The 25,992-nt window shown below is 38.9% G+C and overlaps 1 protein-coding gene, 1 long non-coding RNA gene and 1 pseudogene across 37 annotated transcripts in view; 2 read left to right on the top strand and 1 right to left on the bottom strand.

The window, feature by feature from the left end:
* The window catches only part of ZNF462 (zinc finger protein 462), a 153,477-nt gene that overhangs the window by 10,342 nt on the left and 117,143 nt on the right, over positions 1–25,992 (bottom strand). For all 36 annotated transcript variants that reach the window (XM_047423662.1, XM_047423672.1, XM_047423680.1 and 33 more), the window contains one exon: positions 18,884–19,107. In XM_047423662.1, coding sequence (XP_047279618.1) covers positions 18,884–19,107 — 224 coding nt within the window. The remainder of the gene's footprint in view (positions 1–18,883; positions 19,108–25,992) is intronic.
* The window catches only part of LOC340512 (uncharacterized), a 128,156-nt gene that overhangs the window by 99,696 nt on the left and 2,468 nt on the right, over positions 1–25,992 (top strand). The window lies entirely within an intron of this gene.
* Positions 23,717–24,568, top strand: RPL7AP44 (ribosomal protein L7a pseudogene 44; annotated as a pseudogene).

Below are 25,992 nucleotides of genomic sequence, written 5' to 3'. Positions count from 1 at the left end.
TGAAAAAGGCCCAAACAAATGATGGAATAATAAACCGCAGACCAAATGGGGTTCTCCCTGATGGAGAGATCTTTCTAACATCATTTTCCTGTGACTGTGGTTTTGCAACCAGGACCAAACAACTCCGGGGCCTAAGAGGTCTTTTTCTTCGTTTTGACTCTTTTGGAGATGGAGCAGCCCTTTGCTCCCACATTCCATCATTTTCACCGGAACTTTTGTACACCGGACCTTCATTACCAAACTTGTGAAGAAACATGAGCTATAGTACGCAGGAGACCAAAAGTAAAATGAAGGCTAGAGTATAGAGTAAATATCCAAAACACATTTTTTTTGTAGTTGAATTCAAAGGTGTAACTCTTATAACAACCCAAGTTTCAAATACTTCTGCAGGTGAAGAAGTTCTGCAAGCATGCCGACCACTAGCAGTGAGACACAATACAACCTTCTTTGCCACGATCCCATCAACCAGGGTGTTGCAGGCTGTCCCGGCTTAGGCCAGATGACAGCCATCTGATCCTTAACTCTAGTTTAAATGGAAGATAATATTATTACTGTTAGTGTTACTACTGTTTTTGAAGCTGACCACAGCCTATGTATCAAGGCTGGGATTATCTGAGAAAAACCTAGATGACTAACCCCTAAAAGCTCTTTAAAAGTGTTAACTATGGCTGGTTTTTATTCATGTAAAATGTGGTCAGAATAATGTGGGAATCCAAGCTTTCTTCAAAGTATCATTGGAGGGGAACAAAAATCTACACTAAGAAAAGTCTTTAATGATTTTTCCATTTTGGGTTCTCAGATCAATGGCAGCACAAAATTTACCTTCATCATGAATCGATTTTCAGAACCTCTCCAGTTGCATGCATAGAATGTTCAGGCATGACAAGCTGGTGCAGGGCTAAAGTCAAAAAATTGCCATGGGCTACGCCTTCTATGTAAGGTGTTATGCTCCCCTTGTTGGAGGCCTGGGGAGGGGACATACAAGATGAATGAGACCTGGTTCTGGCCTCCAGAGGCTCACAGTTGAGTTGAAGAGGGAAGACAGACATCATTAATTAGATTCCGAGGCCGACTTCCCTAGCTGCCACAGTAGGGCACAGCTAGATGATGAGGACACAGCTAGATGATGAGGACACAGGAGAGGAAAGAGATAATTTACAAGACAATTCCAAAATAGTCTTTGGGACCAGACTGGAACAAAGATTTGCTGAATGCCACCAATTCCATGTGCCTGGCAGATGGGAACATCATTATCGACTGTGACAAATGTAAAGAGCCTCAGCGTACCAGGCCTTAGACACTGAGACTGAATAATGTCCCAACAACATCCTGTAAGAGATAGGTAGCATTCAGGAGGAGAAGAACTCAGGGAAAAACCTCTTTTAAAACAGGAGAAACAATACACTGATCTATCTATAACAATGAAATCCATGAAATTAGTTAACTTTGAAAACAACTCAACATGGGGGTGGACAAGACGCAGACAACAATGCCAACGCTTAACAAGCAGGGAAGGCAACTTCTTGTTTTTCTCAATTAAAAAAGCTATAAAAATTAAGGGACTAAGGCAAGAGGAGAAAGAGGTCAATTATGAATCCTGATTTCTCTTTCTTCCCCTCTAAGTCCACAGTAACGGTTTCCAAAGGACTTTTGCTTGTAGCACCTTACTAACTAGGGCTTTTACATTTTCATTGATTTCCTTTTATGACATAAGAGCAAAAAGGGATAGCATAAGAAAATGCTCTTTGAAGTCAGACAGACCCGAGTTCAAGTTTAGGATTTGCCATTAACCACTAGATTCTGGATAAATCACTCAGTATATGTCCTTGATATCTTCATTTGTAAAAGGAGGTCAGCATAGTGCTTGAGACACAACAGTCCCCCAAAATGTAATTTCCTTCCCCTTTCTGGGAATGTGAGCCTTTTCTAGTTTTGGCTCTTGGGAATGCTTACAACAAGCATTGTAAATGCATATTTACGAAGTTATGTTTAGCCACAAAGTCTACATTTTAGCCAAATAGCATTCATGATAAATATTTGAATAAAAAGTTTTCTGGCTTGCTAGTTTTTCAGGAAAAGTGGGCAAGGTTCCAATTTGCCTAATTTTTAAACATATTTGAAGAGAAGTATTTTTAAGTGACTAGCACATAAAAGGCAGCCTTTCCTGGGCCACTTTCTCCTGCACTTCTCACCATTAGGAATCAGGGAAACTATAAATACGTGTAAAGGACATGAGGGGTGGGCTGTCACCAGGAAACAAAAACAATGAAACCAAGGAGACCAAAGAAGAATCCTCAAACATCTGCTTTAATCCAGTTGTTTTAATTCATTCATTCATTCATTCATCAAGGATTCCTGGAGGGCTGGCTTGCTGTGTGCCAGCCTCTGGGGTCCACACTGGAACCCCTGCTTCTTTTGGAGCTCTTGGTGACAGAAGGAGATCTGTCACCAAACCAAATGTTATTTTTTTCCCCCTCATTCTGGGTTTTTTTGAAGACTGTATTTGTCCATTTTCCCAGCACCATCATCCCTTCACTGGAAAACTGTTAACATTTTAAATTCTGCATGATTTTAAAATAGTACATGACATTTTCACAGTATGATGTTCATCCCAGGCTAACCCAGGATTTATTTGGTCCTGAAGATTTCTAAAATCTTTGCTAGGCAATTAAAAGATTTAAAAATGAGAACTAAAATTTTTGCTATGTAATTAGAAGATTTTAAAATAAAAACTCTTTATTGTTTTGGGTTATGACGGTATTTGAAATCCCCAAGCCATCTATCCAAATATTAATCCTAACACAAAAGGAAGACTCTTTTCCACATTCCTGAGCCCATTATCATCTTTTACCTGGATTACTGCCAGCCCCTTCCCCTCCCATGTTGGTCTCCTAGCACCTACTCTTGTCCCTTCTTGTACCTGATTCTTTAGTGTGGTCAAAGCAATCTTTAACAAAATGTAAGTCTCTTCATGTCAGTCTCTGCTTGCCCTGAGGATGAAATACAAATTTCTTAACTGTCGTTTACATGGCGGGCTCTCATGTTATTCTGGCCCATCTTCTCTAGGCTCCCCCTTGCTCCCACCACCCTGAACTTACTGAGGTCCTGGAATATGTCAGGCCCTCGAGGAGTCTATGCCTCCACCATCTCACCTGTCTGACACTCTCTCATGCCTGCCGGCTTCATGTGTTGAGTCCTTAATCTCCTAGCCCTGCTTCTGTCACTTCTTCTGGGAGACCTTCCCTAAACTCCTCCTGTGTTCGATATCCTTGTTCCATGTGTTCACAGCATTCTGCACCCCGCCTTCAAGAGCTCACCCCATTCAGTAATGAATTGTTTATGGCCTGCCCCTCCCCAGTCCAACTACAAACTATGAGGACAGACTTGCTGTGAGTCTTACTTACAGCTGAACCCCCACTGGCCAGCACAGTGTCTAGATTAAGAGAGGGTGTTATTCTCGCCTCCTGGCTACTGGATATCTTCATTTTCATTTAAAATAGTTTCTTTTATATAAACATTCACAAAAAATTTATGAAAATAAGAAAAACTCATTTAAAGTCCAACTACCTATACATAATAACTGTTAATGAATTAATGTATTTCTGTATTCCTGTTCTCTATCTGTAGATTATTTACATTGCTGTTATCATTTTAAAACAAACAAGTGTATATCCAACTTCTTCATGCCTGGCATAGTGTACACATCATTCTCTGAATAAACATAATTTTTAATCACTACATAGCATTTCATCAAGTAGGCATATGATAGTTTACTTGACTATTCATTCCCGTATGAATTTACGGTAGATGATTTCTGGCTTTCCACTATTAAACATGTTTGTCACAAAAAGTAATAAACCTTATTGTATTTAAGCCTTTCTTTCATGCTTAGTTTTAATTTTATAGGCTAAATTTCCAGATGTGAAATTACAGGGTCAAAGTCAAAGGGTATAGACTTTATAAAAGTTCCCATATATTTTGAACTGATTACACTACTTTTTGGGCCCGGAGATTGGTGGGTATTTGAATAACTCCTTGATGATGCAGATGACATATTGAGAGAAACACACTTGTTTCCTCTAAAGATGAGAAGCAGTTTATTATCATTTCCCCAAAGGCCCACAACAAAGGGAGAAGGAGCAAGCTTAAGAGTTTGAGATTTAGAACCCAGCTCCTTCCAGGCTCTTTCTGCAGGCAAAAGAAGCCGTATATGTTCTTGAAGGGTGGATTGTTCAGATACATAATAATTCAGACTAGAAACCTATATGCAGATCTTTATTCCTGTGAAAGCTATCTGTGAATGCCCATTCACTCAAGGTCCCCTGTGAAGGCCACTAACCCAGAGTTTGGTGAAGTCATCTGTCTAATGAGAATGTGAGATGAGGGCTGGGTGCGGTGACTCACGCCTGTAATCCCAGCACTTTGGGAGGCTGAGATGAGTCGATCACTTGAGGTCAGGAGTTTGAGACCAGCCTGGCCAACATGGTGAAACCCCGTCTCTACTAAAAATACAAAAATTAGCCAGGTGTGGTGGGCGGGTACCTGTAATCCCAGCTACTTGGGAGGCTGAGGCAGGAGAATTGCTTAAACCTGGGAAGTGGAGGTTGCAGTGAGCCAAGATCATGCCACTGCACTCCAGCCTGGGTGACAGAGCAAGACTCCATCTCAAAAAATAAATAAATAAATAAAAATAAAAGTGAGATGAGGTGTCAAATGTTTTATCCTTTAACAATGAAGTGAGGACACTGCAAAACCACTTCCACACTTGTCTATTTGTTGGCTTTTAACTATTCAGCAAAATGGTTTAGATCTGGTCTTAGCATGTATTTCCATACTTCTGGCATATTCTAAGGTGATAATAATTATATGTGATTTACAAATATTATCAAGTTGAATATGCATTTTCATATTGTACTAGGATAGCAAACCCAGTCTGATAGAAGACTGATATGAATGTGCTTGCTAATGATAGAATGGAACTGGAACCCTTGTCTTCAGATTACATTGCAGGCATCAAATAGGACAGACTGAGATTGAGAAAGTCCACTTAATGTTTCCAGAATTTTTAACTCTAAGGTTGCCCCTCTTACTTAACATTTGTAGCTTCAAAAAGAGGCACCCAACCAGGATGCTCATATTACCTAATACTGCATGTTGATGTTAAAAAGAATGTGCAGCGCTGTGAAGATTTTGAATGACTTATAACACAGGCTGGTAAACTTTTTGTGTAAAGGGCCAGATAAGTAAATATTTTTAGGCTTTCTGGACTCTATAGTCTTTGTTACAACTATTCAACTGCTGTTGTAGCTCAGAAGCAACCCATAAACAATAAGTCAATGGATGACCATGGCTGTATTCCAATAAAGCTTTATTTAGGGAAAGTGAAATCTGAATTTCATATTTCACATTACAATTTTTTTGATACTTTTTCAATCACTAAAACATGTCAAGACCATCCTTAGAGAGTGGACCATATAAAAAAGGAGGTGGACTAGATTTGGTCCATGCATCATAGTTTGCCAACCCCTAACGTACCAAGTGGTCTACTCAACAGACAGATCTTCTTTGCCTGTCCTTAAAAATCAGAATGGGAATGAGGGAAAGAAAACAGTGGGACAAAGATTCAGCAAAGTATTGTCTCTACGATTTCTTACAGCAAGATGGTCAAAAGTGCAGGTAAAAAAATCTTGAATTCTCAGATAAGAGCACCTCAATTAGAGTTCTTGTAAAAGCTTCAAGGAAGGATATTCAAAGTTTGTCCATACAGTCCCAAATGGTAGAATGTCTGTTTTCCATGGCTGAATAATATTCCATTGTGTGTTTATGTACCACTTTTTAAAAAATTCATCCATCAATGGATAGTTAGGCTGCTTCCATGTCTTGGCTATTCTATTGTGAATACTGTTGCAGGGAACATGGGAGTGCAGTAGCTCTTTGAGACACTGATTTTGTTTCCTTTAGTTAAATATCCAGAAGTGGGATTGCTGTATCATATGGTAGTTCTATCTTTAATTTTCTGAGGAGCTTTCGTGCTGTTTTCTCTAATGGCTCTCCCAATTTACATTCCTATCAACAGTGCACAAGGGTTCCCCTTTTCTTCACATATATCAAACCATCACATTGTACACCTTACATATGTACAATTTCATTTATCAATTATACCTCAATAAAGCTGGGGGGGGAAAGAAAGAAAAGATATTCAGCCAAACAAACCAGTTAGGCAGTATTGAAGTTCTATGGAACCTGAGCCATGAAACTATATTTGTTGTGCACTGTGCTCCTCTCCAATTTTAAAACTACCTCTTATCAAGCAAGTAACATGCTGAATTGTGCTTCTTTGTTTAAACTTGTCTCACCTAGTTGCTTATAAACTCTTCCAGGGTAGCAACCATTTCTTACTTAGCTTTATAGGCTCAGTGCAGAGTCATACACTTGACACACAATAAATGCTATTTGAATTTACCAGTAACATGAAAACCCATGAGAGATCATAAGGTATAAAGACTTCATAATATTGCCATAAGATCAACCTATAGAACAGGAGAAAATTTTTACAATCTACCCATCTGACAAAGGGTTAATATCCAGAATCTACAAAGAACTTAAACAAATTTACAAGAAAAAAATCAAACAACCCCATCAAAAAGTGGGCAAAGGATATGAACAGACACTTCTCAAAAGAAGACATTTATGCAGCCAACAGACACATGAAAAAATGCTCATCATCACTGGCCATCAGAGAAATGCAAATCAAAACCACAATGAGATACCATCTCACACCAGTTAGAATGGCGATCATTAAAAAGTCAGGAAACAACAGGTGCTGGAGAGGTTGTGGAGAAATAGGAACACTTTTACACTGTTGGTGGGACTGTAAACTACTTCAACCATTGTGGAAGACTGTGGTGATTCCTCAAGGATCTAGAACTAGAAGTACCATTTGACCCACCCATCCCATTACTGGGTATATACCCAAAGGATTACAAATCATGCTGCTATAAAGACACATGCACACGTATGTTTATTGTGGCACTATTCACAACAGCAAAGACTTGGAACCAACCCAAATGTCCATCAATAATAGACTGGATTAAGAAAATGTGGCACATATACACCATGGAATACTATGCAGCCATAAAAAAGGATGAGTTCATGTCCTTTGTAGGGACATGGATGAAGCTGGAAACCATCATTCTGAGCAAACTATCACAAGGACAGAAAACCAAACACTGCATGTTCTCACTCATAGGTGGGAATTGAACAATGAGACCACTTGGACACAGGGTGGGGAACATCACACACTGGGGCCTGTCATGGGGTGGGGGTAGAGGGAAGGGATAGCATTAGGAGATATACCTAATGTAAATGACGAGTTAATGGGTGCAGCACACCAACATGGCACATGCATACCTATGTGACAAACCTGCACGTTGTGCACATGTACCCTAGAACTTAAAGTATAATAATAATAAAAAAATTGCCATAAGATTTGCATCCCATGAAATAAAGTTGCTTGTTAATGAGAGAATAAAAGTAGGCACTTTCTAAATGATTTTGTTTCAATACTTACCAAGTAACTATTAAGTGCTAAAAATGCCCCCAGTAGTTTTTACATGTATCACTTATCCCTTACGACCATTGTGCAGTAAATGTGTTGCCTTCTATATTTGTAGATGAAGATCACAAAACAGGTAGGTGATGAAGCCAGGATTAGTTAGGACTCAGATCTCCACATGACACAGCTCAAGCTTTTCCCATTATAATGCAAATCATCTGCAGAAATGCAAAATTACTCACAAAATATGTCAAAACTACCATGGCTATACTGGCTGAACACAGGAATGAGAAAGAAAAAGTATTAACAATAACGTTATGTTGCAAAATGTGATGGGATAGAACAGTAGCATCCTTTCCGAATTTTTTTCAAAATAAAAGCCTAAGAATATTAAAAACAAAGAATCATAGAGTACCCAGAAGGATATAGAGCACAGAAGTCAAGGAAGGTATCTACTTTCTTTTGCAATCACTGTGTCACAATCAGAAAACATATTTCCATCATACCTAACTTAGCAAAAGTCCAGACAAAATCACTTATTTGGAGACACTCAGCATAACTTCAGACACAAGTACTCAAGGAAGCTAGGTGAAAGACATAATTAAGAAAGGCTCAGAGCTTTGTGGCTGGCCAGTTAAGCAGCTGTCAATCTCCTGGACCCAAAATACAGAGGGAAAAGATGCTAATGGATGCTACCACATTTTGCTTATTTGAACAGGATACTTAAAATTTCATATTTGAAAAGTTGATTTCATTTATTGATTTATTTAACAAACAATTCCTGAGGCTTTACTGTATGCTGGGCACTAGGTTAGATTTTGAAAGAAAGGTGAGATAAATAAATCTGCCTTAAGAAAGGAAAGAGAAAAGTTCTATGGAAGCTTTGAATCTGGGACAAAGAATTTTGACTGGGGAGTTTAGTGGATGGTTTCGAAGGCACAGGTAAAGAACATCTTCAAATGTCTATTTGAGAAATACTGTTTAAGGTTTTGCCAGACACACCCCTCTGAAAAACGGTCACACCTCTTGCTCATCTAATTCTGGTTTCTCTGTCTTCTACAACACACGGAAGAGACAGAGCTATAGTTAACAAACCAAGAAGCAGAACTGCATGAGGGAAAGCAGAAACGAAATGGCATAGTCTTCTAGAGAAGCCTTCAGCTTGCAGAAATCATTGCTGTTGATAAAGCTAAAGCTGCTAGCATTTAGTTCAGAAATAAAAAGCAATCCAAAAAAAAATGTGGCCAAAGGTGTGTTTTATGATTTGGGAAAAATTCTTCTTATGATTTATTTGGGAAGAATCTTTGGAGAAAGATTCTTCGTTTATTTCTCATTTCCTTTTCTGGAAACAAATGTCCTAAGTGACTTTTTTGGCCACTGTGGATTTCACTAGTCCAAAAAACTCAGCAATTTTATTAGAATAACTAAAAAGTTGATGATTCCTTCTGAGCTTAATGTTTTGCTGTTTTCCCCAAACTGGCAAAAAGTAAGATATGAGTTTCTTAAGAGTTCAACTGCTTAAGGCTCCATTTATATAAAAAATTAAAAACATTTCAAAGTAAATTCAATTAGTGAATGTGTATTGCCTGAATAGACTATCCTTCTAAATTTAATATACTGAACATGACAATTTTACGAGCGGACCAAGTTAGAGATAATATATTTTTATGTTCCTTAAACTAGCAAAGAGAGTTCAGAACCATAAAGAACACTAACAAGGTATTGCATATAAACTTTCTTTTAAAAACAGTGTGTGTATTTTTTAAATGTGAGAAGTGCAAGGTTTGTTTTTCTTCATGACTTTAAGGTTCCTAAAGATGTTGTCTTAGGCTGGGCACAGTGGCTCACACCTGCAATTCCTGTACTTTGGGAAGCCAAGGTGGGAGGATTGCTTGAGCCTAGGAGTTTGAAGATGCAGTGAGCTATGATTGCGCCATTGCACCTCAGCCTGGGCAACAGAGCAAGACCCTGACTCAAAAAAGAAAAAATGTTGTCTTCATCTTTCAACAGTATTGCTAATAAAGGGCATTACTGATAAATAATTCACTATGTGTGTTGGGGGGTAGAATGTTGGGGGACAGAGAATGCAGGGAGTGAAGGAAGGGAGAGGGAAGTAAAGGGGAGGGGGAGAGGAGGGAGAGACTACACTAGTCAACCTTCTAGAGGACCCACTGAGATTAAAAACAGACAGGGAGTCACAGGATAAAAAAATAAAATTTCAAATAACCTGCACTGTTTCCTTTAGATCCTAAGAGATTACAAGTGATGCCTCGCTCACTAGTAACAAAGATAAAGATCTAGGAGGAAAGATTGTGTTTATCACCTATAAAATGAGGGTTCTGATGGTTATCCCTTTTGCACTCTGGCTTCTGAGGATAAACATGCAGCCTAAATCGACTGCACTGGAGATTTTGGTTCTTAAAAGGAATGGTATATTTGACTTTAAGGACCTTTCTTGCTGGTACCAGGATTCTGTCCAGTCCGTGGATGATATAGTCTGACATCTTTACAGATGTTCCTGAGGTTTATAACCTTTGCAGGCAGAATTCAGAAGTCCAGTTTTGAATGTTCAGTTCTTTTTAATGAAATCCTTTAACTGAAAATACATTCTACGTGTCTTATAGTTTATTCTGTAGATTCTCCCCACCACACAAATCACCTAATGCTATTTGTAGAAGAATATAATGAGCAATGCACTGTTTTACTGGGAAAAAAAGTGAATCCCTGTTTGGAACCAATTGCTAAGTCTATTCCACATTAATCCGGATCTTGAGTATCTTGTTGATATAACTGTTCTCAGGATGAACGTCATAAAAAGACTACAGGAAATTAACATTTATTGAAGACCTACTGTGTGTTGGGTTATGGGAAACTTGCATCTGTTTTAGGTATTGAGGTATAATTTACCTACCATAAAATTTATCTATTATAAGTAAACAACTCAATGATGTTTAAGAACACTCTCATCACTCTGAGAAGCTCCTTCATATCCTTTGTAATCAATCCCTGCTCCCATCTTCCAGGCCCAAGTAACCTCTTAGCTGCTTCCTGTCTCTATCATGTTGCCTTTTCTAGAAATTTCATATAAACAGAATCATAAAATACGTAGTCTCTTGTGTCTAGCTTCTGTCCACGTAACATTTTTTGGATTCCTCAATGCTGTTAAATGTATCAATAGCTCATTCTTTTTCATCGCTGAATAGTACTCCATTGCATGGATACGCCGTATTTTATTTATCCATCCATTTTATGTGAAGGTAGGATAGGTCAGATGGCAAGTGTACGTTTAACTTATAAACAAATGCCAAACTGCTCCGAAGTGGCTATGGTATTTTACATTCCAATCAGCAATGTATGAGATTCCAGTTTGTCTACATACTTGCCAACACTTTGATACTATCAGCCTTCTTAATTTTAGCCATGCTAGCTAGTGGTTGGGGAGTAAAATCTTATTATTGTCTTAATTTATATTTCCCAAGTGGTGAATCAAGCTGAACATTTTTTCATGTGCTTATTTGCCATTTGTATATCTTCTTTGGTAAGGTGTCTATTCAAATCTTGTGCTCATTTTTAACTGAATTGCTTATCTTCTTATTGTTGAGTTGTAAGATTTCTTTAAATATTTTGGTTAAAGCCCTTTGTTAGATAATTACTTTGCAAATATTTGCTTCTAGTCTGTTGCTTGCCTTTTCATTTTCTTAATGGTGTCTTCTTTTTTCTTTTAGTTGTCCATAACTTTTGCATCATATATAAAAATTTTTTTCCCTAACCCAAGATGATATAATCTTCTATTATTCTTCTGAAAGTTTTATAGTTTTAGCTCACACATTTAAGCTTACGGTCCATTTTGATTGTTGTGTGTGTGTGTGTGTGTGTGTGTGTGTGTGTGTGTGTGTGTAGAGAGTGCTGTAAAGGTCAAGGGTCATAATCTGCATACACAAATCTAATTGTTTCAGCACCATTTAAAAAAAAAATCATCCTTTCCCTATTACCTTAACACCTTTTATGAAAATCAACTGACCACATATATGAGGGTTTATTTCTTGACTTTTGCTTCTGCACTACTGATCTATGCATCTATCTTACGTCAATTTACAGTGAGTTTTGAAATCAAGATGGGTGAATCCTCTGATTTTGTTGTTTCTCCACACTAGGATATTCTATAGGTCATTTGCATTTCCATATAAATTTTAGGGCCAGTTTGTCACTTTCTACCCCCAAAAAGCCTACTGGGATTTTGATAGAGATTATGTTGAATCTGTACATGATTATGAAAAGAATTACCAATATTGGGTCTCCTAATTAATAAACATGGTATATATTGCATTAATTTAGTTTTATAAATTTCTCTCAGCAACACTGTAGTTTTCAGTGTATAGTTCTCATGTTAAATGTATTCTTAAGACTTTTATTCTTTTTGATGTTATTGTACATGAAACTGATCTTCTTAAAATTTCATTTTCCAGTTGTCCATTACTAGTATACAGAAACATAACTGATTTTTGTATATTGATTTTATATCTTGCAATCTTGCTAAGCTCATTCATGTTCTAGTAGCTTTTTTTTGTAGATTCTGCGGATTTTCTCCCTATAAAAATCAAATTGTCTATAAATAAAAAGTTGTGTTTCTTCCTTTCCAATTCTCATGCCTTTAATTTCTTGTTTTAGCATTATGGTCCTTGACTTTTATATTTGAATTTTCAGCATAATTCTGTTCAGTACATTGTACACTGATACCCCTATTCCTCTCTCATGAACCCTGAAATCAGGTGTTTGTATATCTTTCCCCCTAACAAATGACCATTTTTAGCCAGCACATAATTCCACTGGCTGTCAGCCAAAAATTCAGTTTCAATAGCACTGCCATCTTTACTTACAAAAGTCTTTGGAGAATTATTTCAAAAATTCAAATTGCATTTTGTACTCATCATGTAGGGAAAAAAGATTAGAAAATGAGAAAAAAAGTACTGCTATCTCAGTAATAAGCATGAGTCTCATAAACCTAACAATTGAGACAAACATGAGAATCATTAGGCATGCAGGAAGTCGCAATTCTTTAGCTTCAATTAGGTGCTCACTGGACTTAATAAGCTGGTCAACCATGAGGAAGAGAAAAAAATTAAAGAACATAATATGGCATAGTGAAAATATTACGTTAAAGACTGTGTCTAAACTAAGAAATGAGACAGACAGCAATACAATAATAGTGGGGGACTTCAATACTCCACTAACAGCACTAGACAGGTCATCAAGACAGAAAGTCAACAAAAGAACAATGGATTTAAACTATACCTTGGAAAAAATGGGCTTAACAGATACATACAGAACATTCCATCCAACAACCACAGAATACACATTCTATTCAACAGTGCAGGGAACTTTCTCCAAGGTAGACTATGACGAGCCATAGAATGAGCCTCAATAAATTAAGAAAATTGAAATTGTATCAAGCAGTCTCTCAGACCAGAGTGGAATAAAACCGGAAATCAACTCTAAAAAGGAATCTTCAAAACTATGCAAATACATGGAAATTAAATAACTGGCTCCTGAATGAGCATTGGGTCAAAAATGATATCAAGATGAAAATTTAAAAATTCTTTGAACCAAACGACAATAATGACATCACCTATCAAAACCTCTGGGATACAGCAAAGGCAGTGTTAAGGGAAATCACCAAGATCAGAGCAGAACTAAATGAAATTGAAACAAACAAACAAAAAACAATACAAAAGATAAATAAAACAAGAGTGGTTCTTTGAAAAGATAAATAAAATTGATAGACCATTAGCAAGATTAACCAAGAAAAGAAGAGAGAAAATCCAAATAACCTCATTAAGAAATGAAATGGCAGATATTACAACTGACACCACAGAAATACAAAAGATCATTCAAGGCTACTATGAACACCTTTACGCACATAAACTAGAAAACCTGGCAGAGATGGATAAATTCCTGGAAAAATACAACCCTCGTAGCCTAAATCAGGAAGAATTAGATACCCTGAACAGACCAATGACAAGTAGCGAGATTGAAATGGTAATTTAAAAATTACCAACAAAAAAAGTCCAGGACCAGATGTATTCACAGCAGAATTCTACCAGAATTGGTACTCAAAGGATTGGTAGCATTACTTTTGACACTATCCCACAAGATAGAGAAAGAGGGAACCCTCCCTAATTCATTCTGGGAAGCCAGCATCACCCTAATACCAAAACCAGCAAAGGACATAACCAAAAAAGAAAACTACAGACTGATACCCCTCATGAACACAGACACTAAAATCCTTAACAAAATACTAGCTAACCAAACTCAACAACATATCAAAAAGATAATCCACCATGATCAAGTGGGTTTCATACCAGGGATGCAGGGATAGTTTAACGTACACGAGTCAATAAATGTGATACACCACATAAACAGAATTTGAAACAGAAATCGCATGCTCATCTCAATAGATGCAGAAAAAGCATTGGACAATATCCAGGATTGCTTTAAGATTAAAACTCCCAGCAAAATTGGCATACAAAGGACATACCTTAATGTAATAAAAGCCACCTATGACAAACCCACAGCCAACGTAATACTGAATGGGGAAAAGTTGAAAGCTGTCCCTCTGAGAACTGGAACAAGACAAGGATGCCCACTCTCACCACTCCTCTTCAACATAGTACTGGAAGTCCTTGCCAAAACAATCAGAGAAGAGAAAGAAATAAAGGTTATCCAAAACTGGCAAAGAGGGAGTCAAACCATCATTGTTTGCTGATGATATGATCATTTACTTCAAAAACCCTAAGGACTCCTCCAGAAATCTCCTAGAACCGATAAAGGAATTCAGCAAAGTTTCCAGATACAAGATTAATGTACACAGATCAGTAGCTCTTCCATACATCAACAGCGACCAGTGGAGAATCAAATCAAGAACCCAACCCCTTTTAAAATAGCCGCAAAAAAATAAAGTACTTAGGAATATACCTAACAAAGGAGGCAAAAGACCTCTACAAGGAAAACTACAAAACACTGCTGAAAGAAATCGTAGACGACACAAACAAATGGAAACACATCCCATGCTCATGGATGGGAAGAATCAACATTGTGAAAATGACCATACTGCCAAAAGCAATCTACAAATTTAATGCAATCTGCATCAAAATACCACCATCATGCTTCACAGAATTAGAAAGAACAATTCTAAAGTTCAAATGGAACCAAAAAAGAGCCCAGATAGCTAAAGCAAGACTAAGCAAAAATAATAACTCTGAGGACATCACTGATATGGTTCAGCTCTGTGTCCCCACCCAAATCTCATCTTGAATTGTACTCCCATAATTCCCATGTACTGTGGGAGGGGTCTGGTGGGAGATAATTGAATCACGTGGGCAGTTTCCCCCATACTGTTCTTGTGGTAGTGAATGTCTCATGAGATCTAATGGTTTACCAGGGGTTTCCGCTTTTGTGTCTTCCTCCTTCTCTTTTTGCCTGTTGCCATCCATGTAAAACAGGACTTTCTCCTCCTTGCCTTCTGCCATGATTGTGAGGCTTCCCCAGCCACCTGGAACTATAAGTCCAATTAAACCTCTTGCTTTTGTAAATTGCCCAGTCTCAGGTACGTCTTTATCAGTAGTGTGAAAACAGACTACTACAATCACACTATCTGATTTCAAACTGTACTATGCTGTTCCTCACCAAAACAGCATAGTACTGGTATAAAAATAGGCATATATACCAATGGAACAGAATAGAGAACCCAGAAATATACCCAAATACTTATAGCCAATTGATCTTTGGCAAAGCAAACAAAACATGAAGTGGGGAAAGGACACCCTTTTCAACAAATGGTGCTGGGATAATTGGCTAGCCACATGTAGGAGAATGAAACTGGATCCTCATCTCTCACTTTATACAAAAATCAACTCAAGATGGATTAAGGACTTAAATCTAAGAGGAGAAACTATAAAAATTCTAGAAGATAACATTGGAAAAACCCTTCTAGACACTGGCTTAGGCAAGGACTTCATGACCAAGAACCCAAAACCAAATGCAATAAATACAAAGATAAATAGTTGGGACTTACTTAAACTAAAGAGCTTTTGCATGGCAGAAAGAATAGTTAGCAGAGTAAACAGACAACCCACAGAGTGGGAGAAAATCTTCACAATCTATACAACTGACAAAGGACTAATATCAGAATCTACAATGAAATCAAACAAATCAGTAAGAAAAAAACAATCTCATGAAAAAGTGGGCTAAGGACATGAATAGACAGTTCTCAAAAGAAGAGATACAGATGGCCAACAGACATATGGAAAAATGCTCAGCATCACTAATGATCAGGGAAATGCAAATCGAAACCACAATGCAATACCACCTTACTTCTGCAAAAATGGACATAATAAAAAAAATTTAAAAAATCCAGTAGATACTGGCATGGATGCAACGAAGAGCGAACACTTCTACACTGCTGGTGGGATATAAACTAGTACAGCCACTATGGAAAACAGTGTGGTGATTCCTTAAAGAACTAAAAGTAGAACTGCCATTTGATCCACCAATTCCACTACTGGGTATCTACCCAGAGGAAAAGTCACTATTCGAAAAAGATACTTGCATATGCATGTTTATAGCAGCACAATTCACAATTGCAAAATCATGGAACCAACCCAAATGCCCATCAGTCAACAAGTGGATAAAGAAACTGTGATATCTATCTATCTATCTATCTATCTATCTATCTATCTATCTATCTATCTATCTATCTATCTATGATGGAATACTACTCAGCCATAAAAAGGAATGTATTAATGGCATGTGCAGCGACCTGGATGAAACTGGAGACTAGTATTCTAAGTGAAGTAACTCAGGGATGGAAAACCAAACATGGTATGTTCTCACTGATATGTGGGAGCTAAGCTATCAGGAAAAAAAGCCTAAGAATAATACAATGGACTTTGGGGACTTGGGAGGAAGGGTGGAGGGGGGCAAGGGATAAAAGACTACAAATAGGGTGCAGTGTATACTGCTGGGGTGATGGGTGCACCAAAATCTCACAAATCACCACTAAAGAAATTACTCATGTAACCAAATGCCACTTGTATCGCAATACTCAATGGAAAAATAATTTTTAAAAAAGACCGTGTCTAAGATGCAAAGTATAATTAGTGGTTTTGTAATATGTTTTAGGTCTTTGGGAACACAGCTGCCATTATGATAGGTACATCTATTATTATATTTGAACACAATTCAATTAACAAATACTCTAAGGAATGTATTGGGTCTCAAAGTGGAGGAGATACAGGACTTCATTTAATCTTACAAAACTTCTGAGAAAGGTATAACAATTCCCATTTACGAACTGGAAAACAGACCCAGAAATTTAAGTAATTTGTTGAAATATGCACAGTAAATGGTGGAGACAAGATTAAAACCCAGATCTTTTTGGTTCAAAAGCTCTTAATTGGGCCCTATGTTCCTGAGCAACTCATTTCCATGATCCATACCTCAAAGCCTCAGCCTTCCGCCCACTGCTGAGGAACCCTCTGGTTCTATGGTTTCTAACATTTTCTGGATTTCCTCAGTGATTTGCAAGCTACCGTGCAACAACTAGAGAAGAATCTTCTTTCTGATTTGTTCTGTCTGAAAATATCAGCCCGGAGGCTTAAACACTGTAATAAAAAGGTCTGAGGTAGTTACGTAAATAAGATACATGTGAATAATTATAGAAAGCTTTGTTTGAAAAAGATGAGTAATTTACCCTTAAGTTTGGGGAAGAAATGCCCAGGAAGTTTGAAAAAGAAAGGATATGAAAAATTTTAAGTGAGGTAATTCAGGCTTTTCCTCTTTGCTTCATTTTCTCGGGCAGACACATTGGAAAATAAGTGCATTCCAAAGCAGAGAAGTTACCATTAAACTGGTCCATTGTGGACAGGTGACAAAGCTCAGCCTTCTCTCTCAACACCCCACAGAACAATTCTAACCCATGGGTGCAGATGATTCAGACTAAATTCTTTATAATGTGGGTTTGTAAGGCCAGAAAAGAAGGACTATATTTCCACTCATGAGGATACAGAGCAAGGAAAAAGCAAACAATATCAAAAGTGCTTCTCCTTGTGCCTTCAGTAAATACTCAATAGATATTTTGGACTTGTTGGCTAATTAAAAAGCATTTTGATAGGCTCTTGTCATTAAACAAATACTAATTATAGCTCCTTCTGTACTCTGGGCAATACCAGAAATGATCATCTCAGTTCATGAGATGCCAGATGAGCCCTGTGCAGAGTGAGGAAGTTGTCCTGTGTGATTTCTACCCTCTGATCGGCAAACCTCTGGAAGAGAATTTTTTTTCACAAATCCTCTATTTTATGTCCTGTACTAATGTATTCATTCTCGAGTCTCCTTCCTCCCAAAACATATATTTTACAATCCTTATAATGTTCAGACATACTGGGTAATGCCTTGACAAATCTTTGTAGTTAGCAAAATATTGGAAACCACCTACACGATTGAGGAACACAGAGGTAATTCTATCAGAACAGGGGTTGGCAACTGTGGGCCCACAGCCTGTTGCCTGTCTTTGTAAATAAACTTTTACTGGAACATAGTCATGTTGGCTCATTTATGTATTGTCTATGGCTGCTTTCTTTCTTTTTTTGTCGCCCACGCTCCAGTGCAGTGGTGCTATCTCACTTCACTGCAACCTCCACCTCCCAGGCTCAAGTGATCCTCCCTCCTCAGCCTCCCAAGTAGTTGGGACCACAGGTGCACACCACCATGCCTGGCTAATCTTTTGTATTTTTTGTAGAGATGGGGTTTCGCCATGTTGCCCAGGCTGGTCTTGAACTCCAGCATGGCTGCTTTCTTAATTGCCACAAAGACTACATTTTAGGCCTGCAAAGGCTAAAATATTTGCTCTCCGGTCCTTTATAGAAACTGCCAAACCCTGTCATTTAAAATGTATTAACATTTCAAATAACATAGCAAAATACTTCTTTTAGAATAAGCTTTAAAAAATGTAAGGTATCATGTTTTATGTATAGTATAATCACAATTACGTAAAACAAATGAAAGTGGGTCTAGAGAACAGACCAGAAATGTTCAGCATTTGGACTAGTGTGGTAGAATTATGGGTGATTTCCCTTCCACCCAACCTGTGTTTCGCAATTTTTAAAAATGACCTTACGTTTCTAATAGAAGAAACTAGACCTCACTTTAAAAGCTCTTTGAGTCCACATCTCCATCTGGTACACAGTGGTCGTGACTAAATGCAGTGGTGTCTCCCCCTTGGCCCCTCCCCACAAGTGTGCTGAGGCGGGAGCAGGAAGTCCTGGTAAGTACCTTATGCTCATCCCGAAGGTGGCTGTCCAGTTCCTCCGTGTGCTTGGTCTCATAGTAGCAGAGCTGGCATTTGTAAGGTTTCAGTTCATTGTGCTTTTCTATATGTTGCTGGAGGCTCTCATCACTGGAGCAGGTGAAGGTACACTTATCACAGCGGAAAACTACTCCCTGCAAGTATTTGGACAGTTTGGACCGGCAAACTTCAATGGGGACAACACGCTCTTCTGTGGAAACAAATTGAATGGAAAGATGGGAATTTTTACTGATGGCAAAACAGAAGTTCTTTCTTTGGAATACAAGAAGAAACTCACCCAATCTTGCTGCTCCTCGTGGATCTGGTTCCTTGAACTGACACACATGCACCCTGCCCCTCCCCTAACCCCCAAACAACATATTCCTCAGGAATGAGTGGGTGTTTTTAAGACCAAAAGCTCTTTGTGTACTTAATACCCAGAATGACCTATAAATAGAGGTGGGGTGGGCTAGTAGGTGCTTGCTAATTCCTGAATGGAGGTGATTAAGGCAAGGGGGAGGAATAGAAGTAGCTGCAATTTTTACCAACATTAATGATTACTGACAACAACCATTAGCATGCCTTCCTTCCTCAGCAAGTGCAACTGAGGCTGGACTTACAGATGTCTTTAATGGGGAAAGAAACTGACATTCACCAGGCACCTATGTTCTGGTACCTTTCTATCAGCAACTTTATGAGGCTGGAGTTACTCTCATTTTTACAAATAAGTACAAATGGGCAACAGAGTCTTTAAGTAACTCTCCAAAGGTCATAGACATTGCAGTTGGCAAAGCAGAGATGTGAAACCAGGTCTGCTTAACTGTAAATCTATTATTTCTCACTATTTCCAATTCCATTCTCATTTCCCCTTCTAAGGTATTCTCAAAGAGACTCTTCCCTCCTTTTGAAACTAAGGGGATTTCTCATCTAATATCAAGTCTGAAAGCAAACCTGTACACTTTCATTCACTAAAACTCCAACTATGAAGAGCTCACAAATGAAATGACTGCAGGCAACAATCGGGGGAGGTGGGGTTGCGCAGGAGACAGGGAGGATTTGTGTCTTTTTAGACAGTCTGTAATCTGATTGTCAGAGGGAAAAAATAAAAGAGAGAGAGGATTTGGGTGCTTTTCCCGTTAACATACCAAATGCTGTAGGGCTGGAAATGCGTGTGCTTGTTTATTTTGCACTCTCTCACCCTTGTGTTTAACTGCTCAAATTAAATTTCACACCAGTCTGCCCAGAGTATCAGCGCACACGCCAGATATCCATAACTGGGATAAAATTAAAATCTGTGCTATTTATGCAAGAATCAAATATAGCATGTGTTTTCATGCTGTGTCTGGATTTCAGAAGACTCAGAAAGTTTACAAATGGACGCACACAACATATACTTATATTATTTAGAAACAGCAATGTATTATTAAGTCAAGAAAGCATGATTTATTCCCAGAGTCACTGAATAGCAATGTTTCCAGGGCATCGGTACGTTGTACACCGATGCGACTCACTCTTTAGAGTCCTCCCTTTGTTGCTGGCCAGTGTGCAGGCTCTAGGGAATTTTCCCCACCCAATGTCATGCCTTAGTCTCAACCACAACACTCTGATTGTAGGGCAGTCACTGCCTTGGGAGTCCTTGAAGGCAGCGATTAATCGGCCCGCAAAATGCTGGGCAGAGGAAGCGTGGAAGGTGGTATCTGCAACATACCCCCTGGAGCTCTAATGCATGTTATTTTCCCTATACAAAGAATCAGTTGCTTATTTAGAAATATAAATATTTTTAAACCCAAGTATAGCAGACAGCTAAGAAACACATGATTATAATGTAATCCACACATTTTTTTAGAATAGCAACTGTTTAAGTCCTCTAACCATTCAGTTGTATGGTTTGGTGTAAACGGAGAAAAAAAAATGCTTTGGCATAAACTAGTAAATCTTAAGGAGCTCATGCTAGGATATTCTATTCTTGTAACTCAAGGTTTCTAAAAAGTAGCATTATTGAAATTTTGGGACAGGATAATTCCTTGTTGTGGGGGGCCAGCCTGTGCATTGCAGGATGTTTAGCAATAACTGTGGCCTCTACCCACTAGGTGTCAAAAGCACCCCCTTCTCTCCAGCTGTGACAACCAAAAATGCCTGCAGACTAACACACTCTGGGGAGGCAAATTGACCTCAGCTGAGAATCACTGCTCTAAGCAAAGTGCCAGGCATTAACTGCAACTACGCTGGGTAAGGCACTCATGGACAGAACCCATGAACAAGCTAGTGTCAACAGCAAGAGATGGGGCATGCAGGCTGAACCACGGGGAACTGCCCCCATGCTGGGGATATGCCTTTAGACCTTAGGAGTTCATGGGAAGTGTTGACATGAACTTTACTGGCATCTTCCTTGGGACTGCATCCCCCTTGCTCTCTCTACATTTTAGTTCCTCATTTATATGTTATCATCTCTACTGTTTCTACTTTCATTCTTTGGCTTTGCCCTGTCCTGCCTGCCTTGGTTCCGTTGACCTCTACGGTGAAGAAGAACAGCCCGGTATCATTTTTCATATAATGATGTCCCACACGCCTCAAAGATAGTCATTCAGTGACTCTCCAGTCTTCACTTCTCCACAATTAATAATCAGTTCTTTCAAACTTTTTTATGAGCCTCCTTTTCAATTCCTCTACCACTTAGGTTGGTTTTCTTTGCAGTTTCCAATTTCACTATGTGTGTCTAAGTGAATTTTACACAAAGTCATGAATAGTCAGAATAACACCCTGAAGTTCAAGTAATTATTCATGTGAACACCACTGCAGACTATTAAGTGCTCGCTACGGTTCAAGCACCGTTAGGTGTTCTACCCTTGACATAACTTTTTGTTCTCATAACACCCTGCAAAGTCAGTTCTATTTTCTTCAGTTTGTTGATGTGGAAACCGAGAACTGATCAATTAAGCTACTTCCTCAAAGTCACACCTCTGGTTCAGCACAAAGCTGTGACCTGGGAACACAGGTCTTCTGATCTCTGCCAGGGCCCTCCTCTTGGACCCCTGATAAGAACTCTCCAGTCTGTATGTGTGTGCTTATAAGCCTTTCATTCATAATATTTAAAAAATGCAAAAGCTACAGATTTCTAAGGTAACCCTTTATATCTGAATGTCTTTCAAGCACCTTCTACATTTGAGGAAAGGGTCAAATCCCTGCTGAACTTAAATCTGAAATCTAGAACTTCCCATTTCCAAACTAAGACAATGCCAGTCTACCAAATCTCTTAATTATGTGAGTTTTTACTGAGATATTAATTTTAGAAAAAAAGTTAGCTTTTTCCCCTTTCTAAAAACATGGTTAACATGACCAAGATAAAAATAAAAAAAGACAGACTTTAAAAGGTGGGCAAATGACTGACAGTGTTTTCTGAATGAGGTCATTCATTCTTGAGGCAAATGAAAGACATAAAAGTTAAAAACTGGAATGGTTCCAGGTATAGACTGGGCTCTGCCTTGGTTACAGAAGCTCAGTGCTCAGGGCTTTTTCTATGGGGGCAGTGACAACTGTGGGTCTTTTTGACTTCACACCTCTCAAAATTACCTTGGGTGAAAACTCAAGGCCTGAATCACACTCATTGTGACTCAGCTTCTAGCACTGGCTGCAAAAATATTATGACTTCACCAGTTCAACTACAAGATGGATTGTGTCTCTCATCTCCTCCTACTCAAAAGATGCTTGGTGCTGCAGCAGGACATAAAACCGAAGAGGTTGGGCCCGAGAGTAATGTCACATTGAAGCACATGTGTACTAAGGTGCAACAAGAGCTGAGAATAGCATGCTTTCAAGCCTCCATGGAGGTCAGTGGAAAATTCTGCACAGCTGCAATACAGAGGGTTCACTTCTGCTCAAATTGGCGAGAAACCACACCACTGCAGAGCCCAGATTCAACTAGCAAAAATCCTTCCTGAAAGGCACACCACAACATAGGTGGGTTTCCTTCCCAGAACATGCCAAGTCTACATGAAGCAATGAGATTGGAAGTTCTTCACTCCACCAAAACTTTGCGTGCAAATTGCCACTCTAGAGGACTGAGTCCCTCTTTGCACCAAAGCAAAGAAGTGACAAAGTCTGAGTATTAGAGAAAGCTATGAAGAAAATAACATTATTTTTATATAAATCATCCCAAAACATAGCCATAAATAGACAAACATAAACACAAGCAAAACAGTTCCTGGTAGGAAGTATGAGGTTTTGATGTTAGCCAGGCTGCCATCCTCAAGCTAGAAGGAACTGGAAATGGCACCTCTAATTCTATCAGGCAAAGGTATTTGGAGAAGTTGAAAGGAAACATGTAATTTCACTGAATAAAATTAAAGATTGGCAATCTCACTGTAGACTTTATTCTCAAGAAAAATGACACTGATCAGATAAATTAGGGGAGATTATTTCCGTTCCCAAGGCTCCCACTTGCAAGGTTCAGTTAAATGCGGCATTTGTCTATGTATTGGGAAACAGAAACTTTAAGTTAATATGCCAATTAAAGACCCATAGCAGTGATTACATGGTTCCAAAATTACAATGTAAATATGTGGCAAAACTGTGTTTCATCCCTAAAATCTGTGGCCAGTTTTTAAGGCTCACTATGGATGTGCAAGATACATATACATGGGCAAAGCTAAGCATGAAACATTGTGCTTCCAATGGTGATCAACTCAATAGGAATACCCTCATAAAACTATTATTCACCTGTTTTTTAGTCTCTCTTCTCGTTCAAGTTCAAATTCCTTCAGTGCAGAAACCTTGCCTGACTCTTCATGGCTGTATCCCTACAGCTTAAAACAATGCTAGAGCTTTCTCCTCCAGCTGCCCAAGATGTCAAAAGAAAAAAAGGCCAAGGGGAAGAAGACGGCCTTGGCTCCTGCTGTCATTAAAAAGTAGGAGGCCAAGAGGGTGGTGAATCCCCTGTTCGAGAAAAGGCTTAAGAATGTTGGCATAAGACAGGACCTCCAGCCCCAAAGGGACCTTAGTCCTTTTGTCAAATATTCCCACTACTTCTGGCTATAGTAGTAAAGGGCTACCCTATAAGCAGCTCAGAATGACTCCTGTGATTAACCAATTCACCCATGACTTGGACCCCTAACAGCTACTCAACTGCTTAAACTGGCTAGAGACAAAGCAAGAGAAGAAGATTGTTGGCCTGCATTGAGAAGAAAGCTGCCAGCAAAGGGAATGTCCCCACGAAGAGGCCACCTGTCCTTCCAGCAGGAGTTAATACTCTTACCACCTCAGTAGAGAACAAGAAAGCTCAGCCGATGGTGACTGCACATGATGTGGATCCCATGGAGCTGGCTGTCTTCCCGCTTGCCCTGAGTCCTAAGAAGGGAGTCCCCTATTGTATTATCAAGGAGATGGCCAAATTGGGGTGTCTAGTCCACAGGGAGATCTGCACTACTGTTGCCTTCACACACATTAACTTGGAAGACAAAGGCGCTTTGGCTAAGCTGGTAGAAGCCATCAGGACCAATTATAATGACAGATATGATGAGATCCCACATCACTGAGGAGGCAAGGTCCTTGGTCCAAAATCTGTGGCTTGTGTTGCCAAGCTGTAAGAGGCAGAAGCTAAAAGACTTGCCACTAAACTGGGTTAAATGTACACTGTTCAGTTTTCTGTATATAAAAATAATAAAAAGTCTCCTTCAAAAAGCCAAAAACAAAATAAGGCTGGCATATAGTGGGTGTTCAATAAATATTTGTTGCATGAATGAAAACCTACCAAAAGTCCTACCACTGACTTCATCCTTGAAAGAGAAGTTCAGGGCTTAATTTTTCCCTAGTTAAACTCATCAAATCATGGTCAATCTCACCAAACGTTGATCTGACCTAAGTTCACAGTTCCTGAATGAGATGGGTCTACCAATCCTTTGCTTCAACCTTTGCTAAATTAGTATTCAATAAGTGTCTCATCAGTAACCTGATCAGAATTTGTCCTGGCTTCCCATCTGTCTACTGACTAAAGTTCCAACTTCTATATTAGTATCCAGGCGCTTCATACTTTGGCCAGAACATACTTCTCTGGTATGCTTCCTATTCTCTTCAGGACCCCGGAAATGTCTAATAACATTCTGCAAACATGTCTTGCTTCCACCGACCTCAGTGGTTTATTAAATTGTCTCTTCCCTCGTGTAGTGGGTTGAAGAGTGTCCCCCATAAACTTAAGTCTACCTGGAACCCCAGACTTTATTGGGACATAGGTTCTTTGCAGATGGCAATCAGTTAAGGCCAGACTAGATTAGGGTGTGCCCTAAACCCAATGACTAGTGTTCTTATAAGAAGAAAAGAGGGCACAAAGAGATACACATAGAGAAAAAGCCCATATGAAGATGGAGACAAACATGAGAGTGATGCAGCTATAAGCCAAGTAGCGTCAAGGAACGCTGGGAGCTGTCAGAAGCTAGGAAGAGGCAAATAAGGATCCTTCTCTTGTGCCTTCAGAGGAAACACAGCTCTGTCAACACCTTGATTTCAGAGTTCTAGCTTCCAGAACTGTGAGAGAATACATTTCTATTGTTTTAATCTACACATTTGGTGGTCACTTGTTACAATAGTCCTTGCAAACTAATATGCCCTGCCTTAAGTCTTCTCTGCCTGTTGAAATGTTATCATGGCTCAGTTTGAAAGCCACCCCTCTCTACTACAAACAGAAATATACCTAGATACCCATCACTCACTGTCTTGTCTATACTACGCACATGCTCATCTCTGAGGAGAGTGGGTGCTGGGTCTTATGTTCCCCATTTTGCCCAAAGAACCAAGCATAGCGTGGCACGTAACAAGCAAATAATGAATGTTTGCTGAACACATGAGTAAACATCATACTCTCTTTTGCTGTGGCCAACATAAATCCCTGATTAGTTCATATTCAGATTTCCCATGAGCGAAGTAGATTCTCTCTCTACTTAAATATATCAATTTATACAGACAAAAAGCAATGGAAACTCTATTTCTGCCAGCAGTAGTTCTGTCTCTGGGCCAGTTCAGAAGTTGGTTTTCTTGCTTTTCATCCCACATACTTTAATTAACTAAGACCTCAGAAAGATCTTGTACTGTGGACCTGAGAGACCAA

This window comes from Homo sapiens, chromosome 9 (genome assembly GCF_000001405.40).
Source record: "Homo sapiens chromosome 9, GRCh38.p14 Primary Assembly".
NCBI lineage: Eukaryota > Metazoa > Chordata > Mammalia > Primates > Hominidae > Homo > Homo sapiens.
Note: the sequence above shows the minus strand (reverse complement) of the source record. Positions and strands in the feature narration are given on the sequence as shown.